The following is a 24,219-nucleotide window of genomic DNA, read 5'->3' as shown; positions in this document are numbered from 1 at the left end:
GCAATTAGCAACGTGAACATCAAAAAGTTTTATTGCCGAGAGCTCGAGGCGCCGCCCCTGCCGCCCCGGGATTGGCGTGAGGAGCCTCTGACGACATATATTAACCCGAGCGGCCCTAAAGATGTAGCTGTACATGGAGATCTTGCTGGGAAAATCCGCTTGCTCCCCTCACGTCGTCCAGCCCAGGAGAACCACCGCCGTCACCCCGGAGCTTCCTCGGCCACCGCGCAGAGCCCTCCGAGAGCCCGAGCCGCGGTCTTCGAGCTCCAAGGCTCATTCAGGGCCCCAGATCCTTGCCCCGAAAGGAGAGGATCTGAGAAAATGGATGCACTGAGACCTCTCTGAAAACCCTCCGAGAGAGCGCGAGAGGAGCGAGGACACGTTACTCGCAGCTAAAATCACATTTAAGGACCAAAACAACAACAACCAAAAATTTCATTAAAACAATAAGCGCCCAAGAACCCAGATCGGGCTGGTGGGGGGAGGGGAAGAGGCGGGAAGGGGAGGGTCGCACGGAGGTAGCTTTGCAGTGAGCAGTCGACCCCGCCGCCCCCCGGCACAGCTGGACCGGCTCCTCCAGCCGCGGCTCAGACTCGCCCCTGGATTCCGGGTTAGCTTCGGTGCCAGGACCGCGGCCCGGGCTTGGATTCCCGAGACTCCGCGTACCAGCCTCGCGGGAGCCCCGGCACCTTTGTATGAGCACGAGAGGATTCTGCCTCCGCGCAGCAGCCCGGGAAGCAGGAGCCGAAGCGCGGGCCGTGGAGCAAGGCGGGAACCGGAGGCGGCGGCGGCGGCGGCCAGGGGCGCACGGTGCCAGGACCAGCTCGCCGCGCCCCATGGGGAGCCGGCGGCCGCAGCGCTGCTGAGGCGGGCCCGGCTGGCCAGGCGGGGGGACGGGGCCCGGGCTGCAGCAGCCCCCTCTGCGGCTGCCGGGCGGGCCCGGGCGCCCGGGGGCTGGGGGGTGGGGGGTGGGGGAGGACGCCGAGCGCTGAGGCAGGGGCCCGGGCCGAGGGCGCGGCGGGGCTGCGCGCACGCTGGGGCGCGTGGAGGGGCGCGGAGGGCGAAATGAGTCTGGTAGGTGGTTTTCCCCACCACCCGGTGGTGCACCACGAGGGCTACCCGTTTGCCGCCGCCGCCGCCGCAGCTGCCGCCGCCGCCGCCAGCCGCTGCAGCCATGAGGAGAACCCCTACTTCCATGGCTGGCTCATCGGCCACCCCGAGATGTCGCCCCCCGACTACAGCATGGCCCTGTCCTACAGCCCCGAGTATGCCAGCGGCGCCGCCGGCCTGGACCACTCCCATTACGGGGGGGTGCCGCCGGGCGCCGGGCCCCCGGGCCTGGGGGGGCCGCGCCCGGTGAAGCGCCGAGGCACCGCCAACCGCAAGGAGCGGCGCAGGACTCAGAGCATCAACAGCGCCTTCGCCGAACTGCGCGAGTGCATCCCCAACGTACCCGCCGACACCAAACTCTCCAAAATCAAGACCCTGCGCCTGGCCACCAGCTACATCGCCTACCTCATGGACCTGCTGGCCAAGGACGACCAGAATGGCGAGGCGGAGGCCTTCAAGGCAGAGATCAAGAAGACCGACGTGAAAGAGGAGAAGAGGAAGAAGGAGCTGGTCAGTACCAGGGGGCGGCAGGCGGTGGGGCTGAGGGGGTCAGGGAACTGGTGCTCCCGGCCTCTTTCCAATTGGGCTGAGAAATGGCATCTCGTGTTCTTTGGCTGCGTCCCGCTTCAAGGTTGTTTGCACCAGGTTGTGTAAGGATGGCTTCCGGCATAAGCAGAGAGTTGAGGGGAGGGTGTCAGCAGGAGGAGGAGAAGGTTAGGGATGCTTTGCGCTGGTGATCTTACCTCCGGGTTATCGCTGCTCCCCTAGTACTTAGGACGGACCTTGAAAACTCTGGGTCGCGATCGATCGCGATCGCACTGGTCTGGATGCCTCACCCCGTCTCTGTTAGACCCTTCTTTTGGCCTCCAATCCAATCTTGCTTTCAGATGTTTCCAGAATAAGTCTCGAAGAAGCCCTTGATTCCAATTATTTCACTATTGATCGCACCCCCTACCCCACTCCCAGAAGGAGGCTGCCAGAGACTGAGCCCTGAGTTTTGTGGTTGTTCTCATACTATGCCCGGAAAACGTAATGGTAAACATAAAATAAGTACTTTTGACTTCAAAATACAGCTCCAATTTTTCCTTGGCTATGACGTTAAAATGTAATTTCCCAGATGAGTATATTCCATTGGCATTTCTAATTTTATTTGAATAAGCCTGTACATTTTAAGGGGGAAAAGGCATTACTATGGTCATTGTTATTAAAAATAACACGAAAGTAAATTGAGCCGCTTAAAATTTTCTCAGATTCCTACCAAGTGCCCACAGGGCAGTGGTGCAGGATAGAGCTATGTCCACGAAGGGCCCGGAAAATAATTGCATTTGTCGAATTTTTCTTCTTTGGCCCCTGCAGCCCTTTGGTGGCTGCATAATCGAGTGACCTCCCGAATAACCAGAGATTTCAGAAGCCTTGGAGGAGAGGCACTGCTGAGCTGGAGGCCGAGAGCCTCTGGCCGAGAGGCCCAGGCCGAAACAGAGGCTCCTTCGCCCTATTTTTCCTAGATGTGGATCTAGGATTGCTAATGAAAACAGAGAAACCAGACTTAGCGCCGACTCCAGCTCCCGCCCCTACATCTGGAGTAAGAGAAAAGGCCCCCCGCTCCTCCATAAACGACTCGAAAACGGGCGGTTGTTTATAAACTTGTGGATCCGGTTGTTGAGCGCTGCAGCGCCGAGGCCTCCCCGCCGGCTAGGGTAGCGCTAACCTTGGTAGCTTCTCTGCAGGGGCTGGGACTCCCCCATCGTATCCTTTCCTCTCTGGTTCACTGTCTCCTCCGGCGCAGGAAGCTCCGGGTTGGTGTGGAACCAGGTATCCTCTCTGAATTTCTCTTTCCACTTTTCTCGCCCTCGCCTTTCCTCTGTCCAGAACGAAATCTTGAAAAGCACAGTGAGCAGCAACGACAAGAAAACCAAAGGCCGGACGGGCTGGCCGCAGCACGTCTGGGCCCTGGAGCTCAAGCAGTGAGGAGGAGGAGAAGGAGGAGGAGGAGAGCGCGAGTGAGCAGGGGCCAAGGCGCCAGATGCAGACCCAGGACTCCGGAAAAGCCGTCCGCGCTCCGCTCTGAGGACTCCTTGCATTTGGAATCATCCGGTTTATTTATGTGCAATTTCCTTCCCCTCTCTTTGACCCCCTTTGAGGCATCTGCTCCCCGTCTCCCCCTCCAAAAAAAAAGTGGATATTTGAAGAAAAGCATTCCATATTTTAATACGAAGAGGACACTCCCGTGTGGTAAGGGATCCCGTCGTCTCATAGATTCTGTGTGCGTGAATGTTCCCTCTTGGCTGTGTAGACACCAGCGTTGCCCCCCGCCAACCTACTCAACCCCTTCCAGATAAAGACAGTGGGCACTAGTGCGTTTGTGAAGTGTATCTTTAATACTTGGCCTTTGGATATAAATATTCCTGGGTATTATAAAGTTTTATTTCAAAGCAGAAAACAGGGCCGCTAACATTTCCGTTGGGGTCGGTATCTAGTGCTATCCATTCATCTGTGGTCGTTCCCTCTTTGAAGATGTTTCCAACAGCCACTTGTTTTGTGCACTTCCGTCCTCTAAAACTAAATGGAATTTAATTAATATTGAAGGTGTAAACGTTGTAAGTATTCAATAAACCACTGTGTTTTTTTTTTACAAAAACCTTAATCTTTTAATGGCTGATACCTCAAAAGAGTTTTGAAAACAAAGCTGTTATACTTGTTTTCGTAATATTTAAAATATTCAGAAGTAAACTAAATTATCATGATTGCCTCTAACTTTATTTTAAAGACTCAGTGGTTCCAACCAGTCACCCTGACCTGCGGCCTACGCAGGAGGAGGAGGTGCTCTTAAAGAGAAGTGTCCTTGTTACAAATCCTGCAAATGGTCTGGGGTTTGTCGGTGTGGTGTCTCCTTCCCTCTTCCCCCAGCTGGAGAACGCTGAGTAGTCTCTAGAAGGAAGATCTGGGCTGGAGAACCCAGTCCGGCAGTTCGCTCAGAAGGTGTAAAGGTGCTCTTGCTTTCCTGAAGTCAATCAGAAGCCATTTCTTGAGGCCGTCAGTTTTTGTTTGGAGAGTGTTTCTGGTGGAGGAGTTGTGAGGAGAACCCCGGCATTATTGCTGCAACGGGAACTAGTCTGGGGTGTTTAATTCAAACTATGGGGCTTTCATCCAAGAAAAAAAAAAGGAAAAAGAAAAGAGAGGAGAGGATTTTGCTTGTATTCTATACGGGGGCTTCTCATCTGAGCAGGCGGGAAAGGGGGGTGGAGGGAGTTTCGAAAAAGTCCATGATTAGGTAACAAGGAATTTTACGTCAAGTAAGAAATCGTGAACAAGACCACGGATTTAAAGAGGGGCGAGGGGCGGGTTAGATTTACAAGGAGTTACAGGGAACTCAATATTAACTGTGCGGTGTCTGAAGTCTTCCCGGCCGCAGCCCAGCGAAACAAGCGACACCCTTCCGGGACTACCGGCAGCACGGGACCCGGGATCTCTCCCTGTTGGGTCTTTGGGCTCCCTGAGTCCCAGCTCGTCCCAGAAGAAAGTCCCAGCGGCCTCCTTTGCCTGCAGCCTTGGCGGAAGCTTGAATCTCAGCTCTAGAAACCGGAGAAACTAAAGTGCCTGTGCAGGCTGCGGGAAGGGGGGAGGAGGCTGGGAGGGATTTTGGAAGGGGGTGGGAGGAGGAGAAAGGTGAACCGTATTAAAAAGTGGTTTGTTTCATGGAACGCCGCGTATATAAATCTGGTGTTGGAGAGGCTTGCCAGAGGGTTTCCATCCTGGAACCCATCCTCAGGGTGATGTTCGCAACTTGGCCTCGGGCACAGACCCTCCCGCGATGTCCCAAGGGTTCCCACGCCTAGCTGGTGTCCACTATGACCCCTCTGCCTGCAGCAGGCCGAATCAGACCCGGCGTGGGCGAATTCAGAAGTGCCCAGGGAGAGACAAGCTAGAGGCTCTGCGGACTTCTGCGGGCGGCTGACAACGCGAGGGCGAGGGGTTAGAACAACTCGGCCAAAGCGATCTGAACTTTCTCCCCTTGGGTCAGCCGGCGCTGGGCCGACCTGGTGGGCGCGGGGCTGTGTTTACAGACACTTGCCTTTGTTTATAGCATGGGGAGGAGGTGTGGGGGAGGCGCGCCCTGATTTTCTGTTGCTCTCCCAATCCTCCTGCGTTTGATCCAGTGGTTCCCTCCCTCTCCTGATTCCAGTTGTCTTCCGCGTCTTTATTTTAATCTGCTCAGGAGAAAGCCATCAGGTCCTAGACGTGGAAGAAAGGAGCCTACCAAAGTGTTGGAGTAAACAGTGGCGGAGGAGGTGAGGTTTTAAAAACAGGAAACGGAGAGGAGTTATCTTCACCATGCACCTACGCTTCTCTGCACCTTGTGTAGCTGGTCTCCGCCATCTGGGCCTTAAGGCACTTCTGCAGATTTAACACTTTCTCTGGCTTATTAAACAACAACAGAGGGAAACCAAAAGACCCTGGCGCACCATTGCTACGGAGAAACTTGCTAATACACTTGCTTTTTAAACCTGCGCTCCTCTTTGGCCCCGGCCAAGCACAGCCTGCCTCCTCTTCCTCAGGGCCAGCAACACTAGGCCTGGTCACCCCACCCGCCCTGCCATTTCAACTCGCCAGAAACCCTAACCAGCCAGACACCCAGCAGACCGGACACCCCAGACGGCAGAATGCCCAGCTGCCTGACACTGCAGGCGGCTGAACCCCCTAACCAGACGCACACCCCAACTGACCAGATGCTTCAACCTGCAGGACACCCCAGATTATCTGTCACCCCAGCCGCTCTCAGCCACCCAACATCCCCGCCCCAGGTTGTCAAGTCCCAGGAAGTGAAAGGCGTACTGGGCAGACGTTTCTTCTGAGCTTCCATGCTTTTCTCTTCCAACACTTATTTCTCTTTTAACTTTTTCTTCTTTGTTTAAAAAAATTTTCCAAGCCTCTACTTGCGGGACCGGCTAAAAGGCCTCTGTTTTAATTGCTCGGATAATGTGGTTGCTGCCATTTTGTTAAGAGCAATCACTCCTGCAGGGAAATCACAAGCGTTCTAGACAGGCCGGAGCCGACAAAAATGTAGGATTTGACGTTAAAAGCTAAATGGGAAGCTGCGGCGGCGGAAGGTAAATTGATGGTAGATCTGGCTGTCAGGGCTCTGCCCCAGACCGCTGTGCAGGCCCAGCGTCTGATAACCCTGGAGCACCGGAGGGGCAAAGGCTTGGCCAGTTGTAGACGGTGTGTGTGTGTGTGTGTGTGTGTGTGTGTGCGCGCGCGCAAACCCCTTCTCAGCTTGGGAAGCAATTTGAAAAACTGCAGAGTGGGGGCCCCGCTCCCAATTGCCTGGGCACTGACAGCAACTTAAAGGGCTTTTCCAGGCCGAGACAGCAAGCTCCAGCTTTCGGGATGGGTTAGCCAGCAGGCCCAGGCATCTAGGAAGGGTGGACCTCTGGGTCTGGGTTGCCTCCTTAGGTGTAGGAGCACCAGGCTGCTTGGTCGTGATGAGGTGAGCGTAGCAGCCGTGCCAGGGAGCGCAGCCTGGGGGCCTCTTAGCACTTGTGCGTGTGTCGGGAGTGGAAGGTGGTTCAATTCCTTCGACCAGACTCTGCTAGCCGCTGCCCCAGCTTGGCGTGAATTGCAGAGCTAGTCTCCCGCTCGGATTGGTGAAGTAGCAGGAGAACAAGAGAGGTAAGCGCACCTGGAATTCGCAGGAAGGGGTGAGGAAGGTGAGAGCTCAAATGCAAAGCGGCAGGGAGTACGAGACCCGGGAGTTCCTTCCCAGACTACAGATTTGCAGAGAGAACCCGGGCCAGTTGCAAGGGCCTGAGGTGTGTGCAGGGGACATAAGCAGGGCAAAGGGTGCCAGGAAAACTGGGACTGAACATACACTGCGGGCCTGCAAAGCGCAAGAAACCGCTCAGTTAGCCCTGAAGCTTTAATCAAATATTGCGCGGGCGGCACGCGATTTTGTTTTCCACAGCCGCCTTGAGTTCTCCCTGCCTGTGAGTCCCACCCAGGCTCCTAGATTTGGAAAAGGAGCTGGCTAGTGGGTGCCAAGCAGAGATGGTCTTGAGGGAGGCTTGTGGCATGGGCGCCGTAGAGGGCCGAATCTGGACCCTGGTGACCCAAGGGTACCCATTCCTTCCATTGGGCCCAGCTCCTGAGAGTCCAGATCTCCACGTGAGGAGGGGGCGCTAAGGAGTCTCCCGGACGCGCGCGACTCCTGGCCTGTCAGAGCCTGCGGATCGCTTGGAGAGAAAAACCCAGGAGTCATTCTCAGACTGGGGCCCAGGACCCTGGTTGGAGGCTCCAACAGCCCCCTCCCTGAGGAAGCTCCGCGGTGCAATGAATTGCTGTTGGGATTAAGTCTACCGGGAATGGGGGTTGGGGGAGACGGACTACGTGTTTTTTAAATGTTTAGAAAGAAGGGGGAGGGGAGAACTCCGGGAGAGGAAACCAATCCCACGTTTCCGGGGGCCGGACAGTTCTCATCGCGCCGCCTTACCACCCAGCCGCTGCGCAACGCGTGCTTCCCGCACAGCAACTGCGCAGCTCCAATCAGCCTGGAACCGCTAAACGGCTTCGGTCTGAGGGCTAATGGAGGTTAAAGAGCACCGAGTATCCGACTTACGTGCACCGAACTTACAGATCTCTCGCCCTGTTCTCCCTGCTCTACCCTACCGAAGCCAGTTCCCATCGCGAAGTGCACCCTCACCTCTTCCCCCAAGCGACCCCCCTCACACGCATTCCCTTCAAATTCTCCCGGCATTTGGGCCGCTTTGATGATCAGATGGTAGAGCCCTGATTACAAATTTATTCCCGGCCGCTCTGTCCGTCTTTATCTCCGCTATTAGGGACATCTGGGAGTGATTAGTGCCGCACCCGCGCCCGGCCGCGCTCGCCTATCTTGCCGCGGCGGGGCCGGAGCCTCGCTGACGTCAGGGCAGACGGCTCGGAGCCATCCCAGCCGAGTTGGGTGTAATCGGCGGCCGCGCGGCCAAGTCCTCCCTGGGCCAGGCCGGCAGCTGGAACGCGCCGCCTGCCTGCGTATAGGGACTTCATAAATATGTATTTTTAGCCCAGAAGACTGTGTTTTCCTTGTTTGGGGTGAGGAGGGGCCAGTTAACATCTCTACTGCCCCCTCCCCACTCTAAATTTTCCAACTCGCTACGGCTGGAGCATTCCGCCTGGAAAGCCTTCCACATGCGGTCGCTTCTTTGCTCTATCCCTGCGCCAGGGCGAAGCTTCCCTGAGGCAACAACTGCGGCCCAGGCGGTGCCGGTGCAAGCCCCGGATGGGGTTGGGGTGGCTCTTAGGGGTAAGGCTCTTATGCCACCTCTTAGGGTTGCCCTCATCTCACTGGCACCCGCTCCGCCCTACAGCCCTCGGGCCAAAATTGTGGGAGTTTCTGTTTAGCCGGACAGCCTGGCAGAAGCTGATTACAGAATGCGATGTCTTTTAGCAGCTGCCTTTGCACCTGTTATTAAACCCTAAAGTACATAGCGAGCTGAGGCCCTGGACCCTCTTTTGCCCCTCCCTTCCCCCAGCCCTCCAGGGAGTTGTCCCTGGCGCAAACACTGACACCTCGCAAGGACGAGGACGGCTGGCGGCAGCTTTGTCCCCTACTACGTCCCAGTGTTCAGAGTAGAGGCTGCATATATTTGCATAATTCCTGGACGGGCTGACTGATGCCCCAGACCTCTGACCCTAGCGTTCTGCGGGATAGCCTGGTCTCTTCTGAAGTAAGGGGTGCTGGGATTAATCCAACACCTGGACTTTCCACTCCCCGGACAACTTGATACAATGACAAATTCAGCCCCGTTTTCACCCTACCTTCACCAGAAATTCTGATTCAGCAGGTCAGGGGCTCGACGCGGAGCCTGCAGTTTTCAAAATCTCCCCCAGAGGATGCCGAACCACTGTGCCAAAGGAGGCCACACCCACCCAGCGTGCCTCCCACCCTGGACACCTTCTCCATGACCCGCGTGAAGTCCAGGATGGTGAGAATGGGGGATGGGTGAAGAGAGGCCTACATTATTTAAAGTCTTTACAGGGAGAGAATTAGCCATATTATTGGATCAACCCTACACCTCTGACTCATTGGGCAGCACAAGGATTCAAAGCAAATCCAGAAGATGCTGTTTATTCCTGCACGGGCTACAAAGGGCAAGCAGAGTCTTCAGTCAGAAGCTAGAGTGAATGTAACTAGAGGAAAAGGAAAACTGCTCATGATGTGAGTGGAGCAACAAGAAGATCTATTTGGGGGACACAAATAGTATCACAAATAAACAGGGAATCCAATTGAGGAAAATTCCCTAAAGTCCACGTTACCTCAGTTCTTTGAGGAAACCCTATACACCAACTCCAAAGTGTCTTCATGTAATCTAGAATCAGAAAGAAACATTTCCTCTCAAGTCAGGGAAATGTCACATGGAGAGCCTAGTCCCCTCTCCCACCCACCCCTATCTGGAGCCAAGAGGGAAGGAAACAGCTCTGCGGTTTGGGGGCTAATGATAGGGAATGAGGCTTTTAGACAATTGTGTCCTCAGTGACTGAAGGATTCTGGCCTATCTGTGCTTCTAGAAAGGGGAGGATCAGGCAATGTCTGCACAAAGTACAGTTTTCTAGAGTGCTGGTAAGTGGGTTCTCTATGATCTGTCTGAATGGTGGAGCCGACTGAGACACATTAGTTTTCTAAATCACTCAGATCGCTCAAAAGCAAACAAACAACAGCAAAAAACAAGCAAACTGAAAACTCCACATCACTTGTGCCTATAATACTTTCTTGCTCAGAGTATAAACAAACTTTTACTTGAATTAAGTGGAATAAATCCACATGGGACACAGGCCCAGAGAGTCCCAGTTTATATTTTCAAGCAAAGAAGACAGACTTGCAGGCAGCTAAACTTCGTGCAAAAGATCAGAGGGTACTCACCAGGCCACTTCCACAACTAACACCCTAGTTGTTTTCTCAAATAGTATTTTTAATGCATGAGCAACCAGATATAACCAACTGGATGCTTCTCCATGGCCAGATGGAGTGTTTGAAAATATTCCTTAATGTAGCACCAAATCATTTTTCAGTTCATTGGTGACCTAGAACTAAAGAGTCAGGGAGACTCTTCTGTAAAGGCAGGTTGTTTGGAACTTGTTTTTTGCCCCACCAGCTGAGATCCTTTACAACAAACAGTGCACTGACTCAGGGTCAGTGAGAATGTTCAACCTTCATTAAATACATTGCCTAGAGAAGAGGCCAAAAGAGATATGATCCTAAGATGGCAGTAAATCCAACCTTTGTAAAAAGATGGAAGCCAATGGCCACTGACGCCAGTGCAGAGTTGCCTTCAATTTAAAGTGGGTTGTTAATGTCGTTCCCTGGAGCTGACATTTTGTCTTTAGGATAAGGCAGAAAAGCAGGAAAAGAAGACTGTTATTTTGAAGAAGAAAACCTGAAAACGCAACCTCAGTTGGTAACTAGTACTTGGCGAAGAAGGAAAGCCGGTGCGGTTTTAATGAGAGAAAGTAACTGCCAGGCCTTTTGACCATCGCCTTCGCTTTGCAAATCTGGTTTTCATATTCTTGCTCAGTAATCACCCAAAGTCATAACTGTCTCTGAAATTATTCATTAAAGTCATTTTCAGGGATTCTCACAGGATGACTCTTTTACGTTTATGATCTTGTGAGAGCAATGACATCAGCCTCTGTCTGTTTTCCGCATTTAATTAACGTGCCGCGAAGACGCGAGGGGCCGTGGCTGTGTGCGTGGGGAGGGGGCGGGCTGGGGTGGAATCCAACGGCCCTGGTGCTCCCGGCGCGGTCAGCTGAGCTCAGGCGCGCAGACATCCTTTGATTAAGGAGGGTATTTCGGGGAGTGCAGGCTGTGCAGAAGATCACGGCTGTGCCCTCTGGTGCTGTCAGCAGTGACAGATCCCAGATGGGGCCGCTACTGTATGGCAGATTGAGTTTCTCAGCAGAAAACTCACCCTCCCTCCTAAACGTCTTCAAAAACCTTCTCCAGATACTCCAAGTCTCTTCGTGTGAAACTGAAAAAGTCCAATCCCAAAGTTGGTTTTGAGTGCGTGTATGTTACGTGTTTTTGTTTTGTTTTTTTTTTTATTCCTTCCTCTATTTTTTCTCTGCATTTACTCCTCCTCTGAGCATCTTCGACCCGCAGGGCTACCTGGCTGCTAATAGCGTAGACGTGGCGGGCCTGGGGGTTCCTGTTCGCCTAGCTCACAGCGCCACGCCGACTACACAGCACCGAAGGGCCCCGAAGGCAACCCGGTGGGTAGGGGCGCGGCGGACAGGACGTGGGGGCAACTCTAGCGTATCTCGGGAAGCCGGGGTGGACCGCCGGGCCAAACACTCCTGAGCAGAAAAGGAGAGATGCTGGCGGGAAGCGGGGAGCAGGGGGCGGGGGGGCGGACACAAAGGCGGAAGCAGAGAATACCTTGGCCCAGCTCCTGAACCTGCTCCTGCCAGCCATCCGTCTTTGCTCCGCGGAGGGTCGATCCACCAACCTAGGCATTTTCGAACGGCAAAGTGGAGACCAAAAAGGGGGCGCAGGGGCTAACCGCTGGGATTGGGAAACGGTGAAGGCGGGTCCCAGATGCAGCAGGGGCTCGGCAGGTTCTGGAATGGGGAGAAGGGGGACTGCGGAAGTCCAGGGAAGCCTGCGGCCCAAGCCCGAAGGCTGTACTGAGGCCTCTCCAAGGTGAGAGGGGGAGCATAGAGAGCAGGTTTCTACATAATAAGAATTCACCCACTTGGGGATTGCTAGTCTGGGTCCCGAGTTTCGCATTCCTGAACAGTGTGTTGGAAACTCTGTTGCAGAAACATTTGGACTTATTTTAAGCCTTTATTTTAAAAAAATAAGTAACTTTAAATAAATGCTCCGGGTTCCCTGCCTACCTGGAGACAACCGAGGCTCTTCCCGTCCCCCTGTCCCCCACCCTAGGTATCCAAGACTGGCTCCCGTGGAGCAGCAGTGGCCGGGAGAGAGGCAGAAAGGCAGAGGAAGGTGTGCCGCACCCAGTTTCGGAGCTGATTTCCAGGCCCCACCCATTCCTGCCCTCCCGGTCCTCTTTAACTGTGGAACTTGGAGTGTTCCTGCGGGCGAAAAAAACGAGAGAACAGAAGGGGAGCCTAGAGAGAGCGAATATTGTTTTAAACTTAAGGATAGGCAATTTCTTTTTTCTTCAAGATACTAGGGCAGCCTCCTCCCACAGCCCTTCGGGGTGAGGGCAGCTTGCTGAGCCTCTGTTAAGCTTACAAAAGAGCCTCTGGGGAGCAGAGAGAGGAGCTAAAAATACCTCCGAAGCTAGGCCCGAGGTCCGGGAGGAGCTCCTCACTCGCTCTCGCTCTGGCCCTGCCCAGGAGGGAGCTTTCGCCTTTTGCATTCCGAGGGCCGGGGCCGGCGAGGCTAAGGGCCCACACTAGTTTTGCCTTTACTTTGCGACCAGACCAGGCTCTTTTGTGGCTACGCCTGTTACTCTTAGTAAAGAAGACCTCCAGTCCAATCTCCGGTAAAATCAGAAAATCAGATGCCACTCTTTTGATGCTTTCCAATAAGCCCCCTCCACAGACTCAGTTTTTTAAAAGAAAAGAGATGGGACCGTTAGGCCCTATTTTATACCAGAAACAATCCGGTCACGCAAGGATTCTTCTCAGGTTGGTGTAATGCGCTGTGTGGATGTACGCAGTTACTTGCAGTCCTGGGACACCATCTGATTGTGAAAGAACCGGTGAACCCCTTATTTCAGCCCTCTCCAGAAAAAAAAAATAGCAGTTACTTCCCCCTAGTGTCCCCCTTTGGTTATCGGTAAAAAACGCAAAACTCCTTATATAAAGGCAAAACACACAATGAATTTCAAAACTCCCGCTCGCCCCCTCTGGAAGGCAGCTTTTCTTTTCACTGCCCATGCTGGATGAAAGTGGTTTATTTTGATTTTTTTTCTTGTACCCACATGCCTTGTAAAAGGTTCCTGTGCACGGGCCTGGCCCCCCTCCGATGACCGCAGGGCCTTGCTTCCAGACTGCAGTCCCCACCACTTGGTTTTTAAGTCCTCGCCTGGAGCCGAGGTGTAATTGTGACCCCGCCCGAGCCCCGAGCCTCCCGGGGGGACGGTTGGCCCGGCCTGCTTTGGGGCCGGGACCTCCCAAGTGGCGGCCTGGGCGCCGGGAGCCTCGTGGTCCTCTCCTTCCCTGCCTCCTCCCTCTCTCCCTCCCCTGTAGACTTTGCTCGTTTTCTCCTCGTTTCCCCAGCTTGCTAAGCACTACGGCGCACAAAATTTCTCTCCACTTTTTTAGTTTCCTCTTGCCGTTTCCTTTCTAGCACCTTATCACCGCTCTCTCGGCCCCCTTCACGTTGAGATCCCAGACCCAGGGAAGCAAAGTAGGGCTTTGTCGAACTATGCGGGGAAGAACTGGGAGCCTCTGGCCCCCTCGGCGCCGCGGTGGAGTCGGAACCCGGTGCGCCTCTGCGTAACGTCAGCGCGCGGGGTAATTTACCTTCCCTGGGCGTCTGTCAATATGACTAATTTCCACAGGGGTCAAAAAGCCTTTCTCCGGCAGTCCATCTTGGAACGCTCTCTTACGCAGTAGACGGGGTTGGTTGTTTTGTTTCCAACCCTAGAAATAAATACTCTTGGGGCGTCCCTGCCAGGGCAGCCTGAGAGGAGCAGAGGAATATACACGGTGTCAATTAAAGGCAGTTTTCCTTGAACTATGAACTATGATTGGGCGTAAACGAGAGCGACCTGCTTGCCTTTTAATACGCATTACCTAACTCGTCCTTGATACCAGTGCTTTCTTTAGAAACAGAAAATCAAAAAAGGAGGAAAATAATCATTGCTCCAGTTCTTCTCGGCCGCCTGCAGATGCCTATTGAAATATTTTCTCTGCATTGCAGGGTGTGACTTAAACGTAGAGTGTGTGCGCGTGTCTTGCTAATCTGGCCTAGACAAAAAGTAAATATATTATCCGGGTGGTGTTTTACAATAATTTTAAACTGCTACCAACCTGTAAGTGTGAATCAGAGCTGTGGAGTTAATTAAACATTCTCTGGGATTCGCCAGAAGCGGCTAATTGATACTGGTAGCAAAACCCAGACTCACTTTGAGAAGTGCTCGGAAGGAAGCCTACGTGGCTATCGGGTCAGGACGATTCTGTCTGCAAAGTCCTCTCTTGCATGGAACAGGGAGTGGGAAGATGAAGAGCATTGGCCCCCGAGGGGCACCCAGTTGGGCCCCTTGGGTTTTGGAGGAGGTAAACCTCTCCAATCTGGGGAATTGGGGTCCAGCGAGAAATGAAAGTCGCCAAACAACCCATTTTTCTCCCACCCAAGTTCAGGCATTGAGGCCCCAACTAATACACTTCTCTGAGTTAAATTTTTAACAAACTCTCTGAAAAAGATACGTCCCCACCCCACTTCTTGTGGCCTTTAGGCAAGTAAATGCCTGGATTTGGAGCAATTAGGAGCCTCAGTGGAACCCACGGGAAACCTGAGAACTAAGATAACCAAGGAGAAGCCTAGGCACAGAGGGCCACCTGAAGTCGTAGTCCCTGGCTGCTGCCCTCACAGGTGGGTGACACACAGCCCCACCACCTCCCCGCACAGCCTGACCTCCATACCTGCTCTGCCATTCTGGCCACATGCAAACACACACACACACACAGACACACACACACACCTCTTTCCCTCTCTCATCTGTTGGTGCATTTATGACCTAATGAAAGTATATCCTTTAGGGAAAAGACTGTCTATAAAACTTGAAATATGAAGAACCCATTTGGATATTCCCACTCCAGGCCAGGCCTGAACTTAAAGTTTTTTTTTTTTAGCACAAACACCTTGACTCCTTCTGTTGCTTCTATTATCACCCTGTTATTTTTACTAAATGATGAGAATTGGTTCTAAGTGACCTCTGCTCATTTCCTGTGGAAGGAGAAAAGTCTCCAAACTGCGAATACATCTTTATTTGTTGGAAGGCATTCTTTGGCGGGGGGCAGGGGGTAATAATTTTACTTTCTATCCCTTGCCATCTTGGAAAAATCCTGGCACCGTATGTTCCAACTTCTGCAAACAGCTGGGGAAACCAAGGATGCTTTCAACTCCCTTCCATTTCCTTCCTGCCCCACCGTTTCCCCCAGTTGCCACCTTTTTGGGTATTACAAACATTGACCCATTCTTTCTCCTGGTCACTATGTGAAATGCCTATCAGCTTCCAACATAAATGAGTGCCCTTTGGAAATCCTATTGTTAACCACCTGCCTTTGTGGGAAAAGGCCATCTGATTTTGTGTTTTGGGGCGGGTCTGTTTATTGCCGCAAAAGGATAGAATAGATATTATTGCCTTGTGACTTGATATATAGCATACCTTTAAACAAGACAGTTAAGTCTCTTATTTTGCAATTTGAACTTCACTGTAAGAGTGGCTTAAGTTGTTTATTAGCTGGGACTATGCAACAGGAAAAGCTGCAGGAGACATAAACAAAAGAATGACCTGAAGAGCTCTATCCTTTGGTAGAGTTTGTTTGTTTATTTGCATATTTCTTGAAAAGGAAAACAGTTCTAGCTTAAAATCTTTTTGGCATCCAGCAGCCATTTAATGACCTATGGGTAGAAGGGGTCGATTGTTCCACACCCTGCTTAGTTGATCCCTTTGTTTCTGAGTTTACAACATGAAAAGAGTTTACATCATTACTCCCCCCTTTTTTATTTAAACTTAAAGTTCATGAGTAACAAGAACTTTTACACCTAGGTAAAGCCTTGGGAAGGGAGAAAATTGCTCAGGCTGCTAAGGTGTAAGAGGATGTATGTGAAGGGGAGTGCTCTGAGAGGCAACCATTTCTAGGGAAAGGTCTTGTCCTCTTAGTAACAACAACAAAAGAAGTCAATTTTCAAACATCTATTAGACAATGTCAATCTTTCTTTTCAGTTGTATGCTTAGCTTAGCCTTTCCACTTGGGACTGATGGCTCAGCCAGTCCTCCAAGTCTACGATCCTAGAACTTAACTGGAGGAGCAAATGGCTTTAAACTGACAAGTCTCCCCATTTGGAAAGATAAGGGAGGAGAGGACTAGTGTGCATTTTGCCTCACCTAAGATTTTGTACTTCTCTGAACAAATATTTTCTAGTCTAATTTTCAACTTATGACCCATTGAGCAAAACAGAAAGTTATTGCATGTTTTTCAATCCCATATCTTCAGTAGGTAACATCCTCCTCCTCAATATGTGGTATTATGTGGAATATATTTAGCAGCAACTCTCTCATATATATTCTACTCAGGTTAATTTTTCATGAATAGGCAGTAATTCTCATGGTTTAAAAATACCCAAAATGTACATGTGAAAAGTCTCCCCAGTTTCCTCACCCACTGAAGTCTGTCCAGTTTCTTCACCCACTGTGATTCATTTCTTATGCATCCTCTCAGAGCTTCCTAATGAGTAGAAAAGCAAACAGAAATATCATCTCTATGGTTTTAGAATAATGCAGGTTGCTCCAGTTTTATCTGTTCCACTGATAGGGGGAGAGGAGAAGGATGGTGTCTTGGAAGCTTTGAAGAGCCTCACACCAAATACAATTTGGGCAAGGTGTGAGATTCCACCTGACTCTCTTTGCTAAGCTAAGCATACAATTGAAAAGAAAGATTGACATTGTCTAATAGATGTTTGAAAATGGACTTCTTTTGTTGTTGTTACTAAGAGGACAAGACCTTTCCCTAGAAATGGTTGCCTCTCAGAGCACTCCCCTTCACATACATCCTCTTACACCTTAGCAGCCTGAGCAGTTTGCTCCCTTCCCAAGGCTTTACCTAGGTGTAAGAGTTCTTGTTACTCATGTACTTTAAGTTTAAATAAAAAAGGGGGGAGTAATGATGTAAACTCCTTTCATGATGTAAACTCAGAAACAAAGGGATCTTCTCTTGGGAAAGAGAAGATAGGGACAAATGTGGAATAATCAATCCCTAGGACTCCAGATTGGATTGTCTTTTCTCTGTGGATGAGGACAAAGAATAAGAAAAAAGGGAGAAAGAGAAATAAAAGAAGTAAAAAAGTGAGATCAAATTCTGCCTAGAATTGTGGGAATGTGGCTTCTCAATTTTTGTGTGTCCCCTCTCTCCAACTCAAAATGAAAAGGTCTACATTGTTTGCATCATATAAGTAATAAATACATTTTCTCCTACCATAGAGAGGTTTTTTGCTATGTTCTAGTCCATAGATGGTTCATATGGGTTATAATGGAAGGAGGTGGGGGATTGGGAAATACACATTTATCACAAAACAATTGAGACAAATTTTGCAGTATAATAACTATGTGTAGACTTGATAGACTCCAGGCATTTTGCCCTTTACAATTCAAAAAGGCATGAAGGTAAAGCCAGAGGTGACTGTTCCCTACAAGAGCGGATGACACCTTCATTTACATCAATGTGACCCTTGGAGAGGCTGAGGGGTCTTGCTCCCCAAGTCTAATAGAGACTGTGAGTGACCTTGACTCTCCTCCACATAGGAGTTAGATATGGATGGAGAAAAGGACACATCTTGTAGGAAAAGTGCCATGCATAGTGTCCCTTGCCAGGGATGGGGGACACTCTCTGGGATTCTGCTCTCTGGGATGCTCTGTGACTTGTGGTACCTGGCCAGAATTGCAGTTAAGTTGAATCAAACCCATGCTCCCCTCAGCTGCTCCTTCCCTTATCCTTGTAAATGGTGTTGAAAGCATTTTCAGCTTCTAGATGGAATATAGCAATTACTTTCTCTGCGTGTGCACTTGAGTGCCAGGGGAGAGGGTTGCTAAGTATCCACGTCTTCCATGCATACCAAAAATTTCTCTTCTTTCACCTTGGGCTTCTCCCCACTCCTGTCTCATAATAATACAAGATGAAGTAATAACAACAAAAGCTTACTGCTGATTCTCATTTCCTCTGAACAGATTTTTTTCCCCTGTCCCTCTTAGGGACCCACTGCTAGGTTTTAGCCTAGTTGCTGAGGTTAAGCCATCCTCTGAAAGGGGTTAGCTTTCAGATCACCCACTGTATTGGACTAATGCCCTCTCAGGACCAAAGGGCATCTGCTGGGTGAAAAGGACCCCAAACCCTCTGCCCCCTGCATCCCTGGAGCTGTTCATCAGACTGGAAGCCAAAGGCCCACATAACTCTAATTAATGTGTGCATATGTTGGCCAGCCTCTTGGACGATTTTACCATTAGTACTTGAATTGGCAGGGTCAGAGAGTCTGATGCTTGTGTTCTGATGAGGATTTACAGTCCTAATGAATCATGTGACCATGAGTAGACTTGGACAGCACCGTATTCAGGAGACCTGCCTCTGGTGCTTTCCACCCTGAGGATCTCTTTCTGTTCCACAAAGAATGCTCGTCTGGGAGGAAACAACCAGAGGGAGGGCACCCTTAGAAGTTTAAAATGTCCTCCTCATCTGCATCTCAGCACAGAACATTACTAAGCCAAGTTTATATATATACATTATAATATATATTACATAACATATATATACACACTCAGGAATACAGAAGAAAAGTTTTGTCTTGAAAGTGTTGAATTTAAGACTGGAAATGGGCCTTTAGGGTTCATCTGCTTTAACCTCTTTTTCACAGATGAGAAGACTCAGGTCTAAAGATCTAAAGATGCTCTTGGTACCCGGCCAGCATGAATGTAGCACTCATTCATGAAATTGGGGGTGAGGGGGTTCCTCTCCCCTCCTTAGTTAGTTATTTCCAGGGACCTCTTGTTTAAGAAAGATAAAGGCATAAATAAAGAGAAAGTTGCAGCAGAAAACGTTTTGCAGAAAAAAAACAAAACAAAACAAACAAACAAAAAACGGTATAGAGGGCCAGGCCAGGCGAGAAAAGAGGTAGCCAGAGAAATGATATCTGGGGCCGGTTAATTGAGCAGGCCTATCTCCACCACTTCCTGAACGTCTTCACTCCACTCCAAGACTGCTATTAGAAGCTAATGTTTTCCACCCGGCGCGCGGTGGCTCACGCCTGTAATCCCAGCACTTTGGGAGGTCGAGGTGGGCCGATCATTTGAGGTCAGGAGTTCGTGACCAGCCTGGCCAACATGGTGAAACACCCCCCCACCCCGTCTCTACTAAATATACAAAAAATTAGCCGGGCGTGGTGGCGGGCGCCTATAGTCCCAGCTACTCCAGAGGCTGAGGTAGGAGAATCGCTTGAATCCAGGAGGCGGAAGTTGCAGTGAGCAGAGATAGTGCCACTGCACTCCACCCTAGGAGACAGAGCGAGACTCCGTTTCAAAAACAAAAAAAGAAGAGGCAGCTGATATTTTCACACCACATACTTTATCTTGGTTATTCTTTGTCTACGCCAGCCCAGAAGAATAGATTCTTCTCTACTAGGGAGAGGGAATCGTGTTTCCAAAAGGGTAGCAGCTCTCATCAAAAGCGCTTGTGGATCTGGTGACAACGTGGACAGGCACTTTGCTTGGATCCTGGAGATTATCGACTGCGGAGGCGGGATGGAGGACAGCTAGGTCTTCCAGTTGCCGGGGTGGGTACTTGGTTTTGGCGCGCTACGTCACTGAGCTGTAGAGAGGCTATATCCCAACTAGAGTGGATTCACAGGGAATCCCAGGGGGAGGGAAGTTGCTAGATCTCCACGTTGGAGAGAAGACTGCAGTAGAAGAGAGACTTCGTAGCTCGAAACGGGGCTTCTGGATCTCCATAGGGCTACCCCTGCAAGGCGCCAGGTCCCATCTTCTGACAGAGCTACCTGGATGTGCCTACCTACTTGTGGAGGGGTAGGCACCAAAGTGGCTCTGTTTTGCGTTAATTTATATATATATATATATATATATGGTTTTGGCCTGGGTCCTAGTGGGGTTGAAGTTGCCCTGGAGTACTGGCCGGACAGAGTTGTCTTGGGAGCCATCGGCTGCTTTCCTTAGGCCTTAGGAACAGAACAGAACAAAAGTTAAAATTAGCCAAACAAACCAAACCACAGCCCCCACACGCCATCCTTCCATTGCTGGGGAGCAGTATTCTGGCTTCAGTACTCAGGTTAGAAATTTGAATAAATGGAGCCAGATCCTGGATTACACCCCGGGGACAGCGTTTTAATGTAAATGTAAAATATGCTAGTAATAATCACTTTTGGGCCCTGAAACGCCATTAGGATTTCTGTTTAATTATAGGGCATGAGAGAAGCATTACCAGCTAATTAAATCAATCCTATTTGTAATTCTCCCTCTGCTGCTGCAGTCTTTAAAATGTGAAATTGCTTTTTAAATGAGCCCGCATATGAATTTTTAAAACAGCAGTGAACTAAAGTGAGAAGCAGGGGAAATGAGGGCCAGAAAGAGAAGGAAGGAGACGCAGGTACTGGGCCCGAGTCAACAGGCATGTGGGTGAATCTCCCCGGCCGCCTCGGCTTCCTTGCCTTCCAGCCGGCGCTCAGTTTTCTTGCAAAAGAGTCGGTTTCCTCTCCTTTCAGAGGTTTCCACTTCCTCCTGAGGAATCTCTTTCAGCTCCTGGATATCTCCCCCGAGAAGGGCCCTGGGGTGGGGAGGGGCGCGGACACCGCCCGACACCCCGAGTCCGCGCTCCCGGCTGCAGCCGCGCGGCCCAGGAGCGGGTTCCGGCCGACGGAAGGGAGCGGCGCGGGGAGGAAGTGAGCTCACTCGGGAAGGAAGGAAATAAATGAGGTTTTTGCCCGGCAGCCGCCAGGCCGAAGCGCACAGCCCTGGGGAGAGGCTGCGAGCGCAGGTCCCGCTACCGCCCTCCAAGGAGGCCGGGGGCAGAGGCCGGCTTTGCAAAGCGCTGCGGCCCCCGCTACCGACACCGTCTCGACCCCGCGCATTCTATCCGTCGTGCTCCCGGGGAGGAAAAGCGCCAGGCTCTACTCGCGAGGTTCAGGCCTCCAGGACAGAGTGGGAGGCTCAGAGCGCGCGAGGGCTTTATTCAGGCAGATGCCGCCTTCAGTCCCCACGCGTCCCATCCTCCCCGCGAGTGAGATTTAGCTTCCGAAGCTCCCGCACGCGCGCGCGCAACCCTCTCTTCTTTCTCCAGTGCCCCTCGCAAAAGTAGGCCCTGGAGCTTTGATTTACGATTAGAGTGTTGAGTTATTTGCATGAGAAAACAAGAGGGAGGACGGCCACCAATTCTGGACTCCTCCTTAGTACTCGTGAAGTGGAATAATATGCAGTGGGGTGTGTTTCCAAACCTGGCACCATCTGCACCTTCTGCTACCAGCCGTACCACCACCCGGCTGCTCGGATGCAGTCTGGTTTACGGAAATATTCTAAGAAACAGGGAAGCTGGCTATCTCGCCTCGGCACCCGGCCCTGCAAGCAGAAACTGTCAGAGTGCAGGGACAAGCTTTCTAAACTGACAAAGCCGCCCAACAAATGTAGCGGCACTTATCCCAAGAGCAGGCATTCCCACCTCGGCCTCCCGGGCCCCGAGTGCTTCTCCCACAGGCTCGACCTAGGATGCGGAGTGGTCTCTTGGTGGCCGCAGAGTGCCTTCAAGTCTAGAATGAGGCGGCGATGTCCATAACTCGGCCGGGGCAGGTTGGGTAGGAGGTGGGGAAATGTAATTCTCCCCTGCACTTGGGGAGATTCGGGCGGCAGGCCTTCTCTAGTGCCTTTCAGGGGGCCCCTGCCCTCACCTGAGAAGTCTCTTGGGCACCCACCTACCGCGGTGGCTGGGGCGGGGGCTGTGGTCTGGCTTCATCTGTGTCCGGCCTGTGGTTTGGGCGTCCTGCGACGGACTGCAGAGGTCCGGAAGGTGGAAAAGTTCAAACCCCTCCATGTGTGTTGGCGGTGGTGGGGCGTGCTGGGAGGCGGTTACTGTCAAAGTGTGGGCATATTTGTCGGATTTGTAGGCTCTCGATCTGGAGTTAGTTGGAGAAATTTACATCAGTCTAGAACCTCGGCATTTCACCTCCACCTCCACCTCCTGCAGAAGCGCCCATGTACCTCTTGTCATCTCTTCCCAGTGGGTTGATAGGTTGTTTCATAAAATTAGCAGTCTTGTTTTCCACCTGACTTTCAGCACGATCGCTATCTATCTTTTGACTTCAAGTCTTGCTCTGTACATTTAGGCGGGAGGAGGGGGAGTTCCAAGAAGCCGTCTTGTGTCAACTTTAGCAGCCAGGAAGAGGGAGCCGACAGGGCTTTTCTCGGGCTTTTCCCAGGCACTGCCAGCTTGCCCCTCCCTCTCTTCTCAGGGCGGACTGCACCCTCCACCCATCTCACCCTCCATCCATCTCCCCCTCCCCGACATTCCCTCTGCAGTCCTCGGCCAGTAGCAGCGCCTCCGGGAGCCGCACTCGGGGCAGCAGGGATTCTGGCCTTCCAGGCCCACCAGCGGAGGGGCCTCGCTGCCTGCTTTGGAAACTCTCCGTTTTCCCACAGTATTTCACATTCATATTACTTTTCACACCCTGTTAGGCAGTAATGGCACTGAACCTGCTAAATACTTCCATGCACCCAGCCAGCCCTCCCGCAACTGCTCCGGAGGGTCTGTGATACAAAAGAGATTGCTCTCTCATCCTGCGGGGTTGTTGGCTTCTCTTCTCTCCTCAGATCGGCCTCCAGAGTTGATGGTGGTTCTGGTGGTGGCGGCCACAGGGTGGGGGCGCTCAGGTGTGGAGGAGGTCTTAACACCCCCTTTCAAGCAGGTAGGGGAGATGTGGGAAGAAAGAGCTTGGGGACAGATCTGGCTTTTGGTAGTAGTGTGAAGTTAGATCGGCTATTTTTAAAAGAACAGGGCCAGGCCGGGAGGCTCACGCCTGTAATCCTGGCACTTTGGGAGGCCGAGGCAGGTGGATCACCTGAGGTCAGGAGTTCAAGACCAGCCTGGCCAACATGGCGAAACCCTGTCTCTACTAAAAATACAAAAATTAGCCGGGCGTGGTGGCAGGCGCCTGTAATCCCAGCTACTCGGGAGGCTGAAGCAGGAGAATCGCTTGAACCCGGGAGGCGGAGGTTGCAGTGAGCCGACATCGAGACACTTCATTCCAGCCTGGGCGACAGAGCAAGACTCTGTCTTAAAACAAACAAACAAACAAACAAACAAACAGAAAAACAGGGCCATGCTCCGGACCTTGTGCAAGGAGTAGAGTCTGGCCTTCTTAATTAGCACCATCTCGCGGCCTTCCCTTCATGGCACCAGACCGGATGAGTGGCAATTTGGGCACTAGGCTGCAGAGGGCAATGCCCCCACCCCTCCTCTGGCCGCCGCAGCGCAGCATGTCTGAGAGCTCCGGGGCTGCTCGGTAAACCTGCGGGTGAGGGAGGGAGGATTTAAAGCCCTGCTCATAGCCGGGCTTGATGACGGCGAGCGGAGGAGAAAACAGCGAGCCCGGCCGGGGAGAAGCGACGGTTCCCAGCATCTGAACTCGAACCACTCGCTCCCAGACCGATGGAGGTCGGACTCTCAGAGAGCCCAGTTACCCTGGACTGGACTAGACACCGCCGTCCCGGAATGAGCTGCTGGAAAACCTCGCGAGTCCGCCACCGTAACAGGACTGAGGCCGGTGGCCCTGAGGCTTCAAATCCAGGAAGTGAAGGGAAGTTAGAGGTGGTCCTCCGTCGCTCCTCCACAACCCCGCCTCAGTTCTGCTATCAGGAAAAGAGAAGTAATAAAATCTGCCCGCCCCTACCCTCAGGACAGGAGGGAAGGAACTGATTTTAATGATCGCATATTAAGTGCGAAGGCATTTTACAGGCTGCCTATTGTTTAATCTTCACAAACTGTAAGAAGGGCATTTCCTGTCTCTGTGCCTACAAGAAAATTGAGGTGCAAAGAGAGCAGACCTGGCTGTAGATCTGTGCACCCAAACAAGTTCCAGGCATGAGAGGAGTTGATGGCACACTGAGGGGCCCTGCAGCCTGGGCCGTCTCCTGGTAACCTGGGAGACGGGGCTGCACTGCCCTCCACGAGCCTCTAGCATACACTCCTAGAGGGTGATTTAAGTGATGGGAAATCCCTTTCTAAGGAATTGAAACTTTGGGCACTATTTTAAGCTGTAGGGCCTACGTCCCTATTCCTCTAAAATACCCACAGGAAAGTCAAAGTTACCATGACTCTCTTACTCAACCAGAGGAGTCCAGAGTCCTACCATACATGTGTCCCTCAAGT

General features: G+C 51.8%; 2 protein-coding genes and 3 long non-coding RNA genes across 12 annotated transcripts in view, besides 4 other annotated features; 2 read left to right on the top strand and 3 right to left on the bottom strand.

Annotated features, from left to right (window-relative positions):
- HAND2-AS1 (HAND2 antisense RNA 1) overlaps positions 1 to 1,755 on the bottom strand; it is a 62,656-nt gene extending 60,901 nt beyond the window's left edge. Inside the window, exon 1 of the long non-coding RNA NR_136197.1 lies at positions 1,516 to 1,755. This is a non-coding gene — a long non-coding RNA (HAND2 antisense RNA 1). The remainder of the gene's footprint in view (positions 1 to 1,515) is intronic.
- HAND2 (heart and neural crest derivatives expressed 2) lies at positions 126 to 4,264 on the top strand. Its single transcript, NM_021973.3, has 2 exons — positions 126 to 1,620; positions 2,980 to 4,264. The coding sequence occupies exons 1-2, from the start codon at positions 1,066 to 1,068 to the stop codon at positions 3,076 to 3,078; spliced, it is 654 nt and encodes a 217-aa protein (NP_068808.1). The 5' UTR covers positions 126 to 1,065; the 3' UTR covers positions 3,079 to 4,264.
- Positions 5,070 to 5,611: an enhancer, noted in NCBI's record as "H3K4me1 hESC enhancer chr4:174445895-174446436 (GRCh37/hg19 assembly coordinates)". NCBI's record gives its function as "activates a minimal SCP1, AML or CMV promoter by ChIP-STARR-seq in primed H9 embryonic stem cells {active_cell/tissue: H9 hESC(primed)}" and the evidence as "EXISTENCE:reporter gene assay evidence [ECO:0000049][PMID:30033119]".
- Positions 10,056 to 13,759, bottom strand: LOC124900815 (uncharacterized). Of its 5 annotated transcripts, XR_007058371.1 has the most exons (4): positions 13,603 to 13,759; positions 12,728 to 12,818; positions 11,543 to 11,724; positions 10,056 to 11,460 (listed from the first exon to the last, which is right to left on the bottom strand). It is a non-coding gene; the product is annotated as an uncharacterized LOC124900815 (long non-coding RNA). The 5 variants fall into 5 exon arrangements; XR_007058370.1 differs by lacking the exon at positions 13,603 to 13,759 and having other exon boundaries at positions 12,728 to 13,178; XR_007058372.1 differs by lacking the exon at positions 13,603 to 13,759 and having other exon boundaries at positions 10,056 to 11,135; positions 12,728 to 13,178.
- Positions 10,833 to 11,419: an enhancer, noted in NCBI's record as "H3K4me1 hESC enhancer chr4:174440087-174440673 (GRCh37/hg19 assembly coordinates)". NCBI's record gives its function as "activates a minimal SCP1, AML or CMV promoter by ChIP-STARR-seq in naive H9 embryonic stem cells {active_cell/tissue: H9 hESC(naive)}" and the evidence as "EXISTENCE:reporter gene assay evidence [ECO:0000049][PMID:30033119]".
- Positions 10,833 to 12,195: a biological region, named in NCBI's record as "MED14-independent group 3 enhancer GRCh37_chr4:174439311-174440510".
- Positions 10,996 to 12,195: an enhancer, noted in NCBI's record as "MED14-independent group 3 enhancer chr4:174439311-174440510 (GRCh37/hg19 assembly coordinates)". NCBI's record gives its function as "activates an origin of replication core promoter dependent on BRD2, BRD4, P300/CBP and CDK7 cofactors, and independent of MED14, by STARR-seq in HCT116 cells {active_cell/tissue: HCT116}" and the evidence as "EXISTENCE:reporter gene assay evidence [ECO:0000049][PMID:35650434]".
- Positions 11,211 to 24,219, top strand: part of SCRG1 (stimulator of chondrogenesis 1) — a 134,444-nt gene continuing 121,435 nt past the window's right edge. For both annotated transcript variants that reach the window (XM_047449563.1, NM_001329597.2), the window contains exon 1: positions 11,211 to 11,376. The gene's annotated coding sequence lies outside the window, so the exon portion shown is untranslated. The remainder of the gene's footprint in view (positions 11,377 to 24,219) is intronic.
- Positions 15,613 to 22,238, bottom strand: LOC101928409 (uncharacterized). 3 transcript variants are annotated; one of them, XR_939466.3, is made up of 2 exons: positions 21,517 to 22,238; positions 15,613 to 20,023 (listed from the first exon to the last, which is right to left on the bottom strand). It is a non-coding gene; the product is annotated as an uncharacterized LOC101928409 (long non-coding RNA). The 3 variants fall into 3 exon arrangements; XR_939467.3 differs by having other exon boundaries at positions 21,743 to 22,238; XR_001741459.2 differs by having other exon boundaries at positions 21,771 to 22,238.

Source organism: Homo sapiens, chromosome 4 (assembly GCF_000001405.40).
Source record: "Homo sapiens chromosome 4, GRCh38.p14 Primary Assembly".
NCBI lineage: Eukaryota > Metazoa > Chordata > Mammalia > Primates > Hominidae > Homo > Homo sapiens.
The sequence above is the reverse complement of the archived record's forward strand: the minus strand, read 5'-3'. Positions and strand labels throughout refer to the sequence as shown.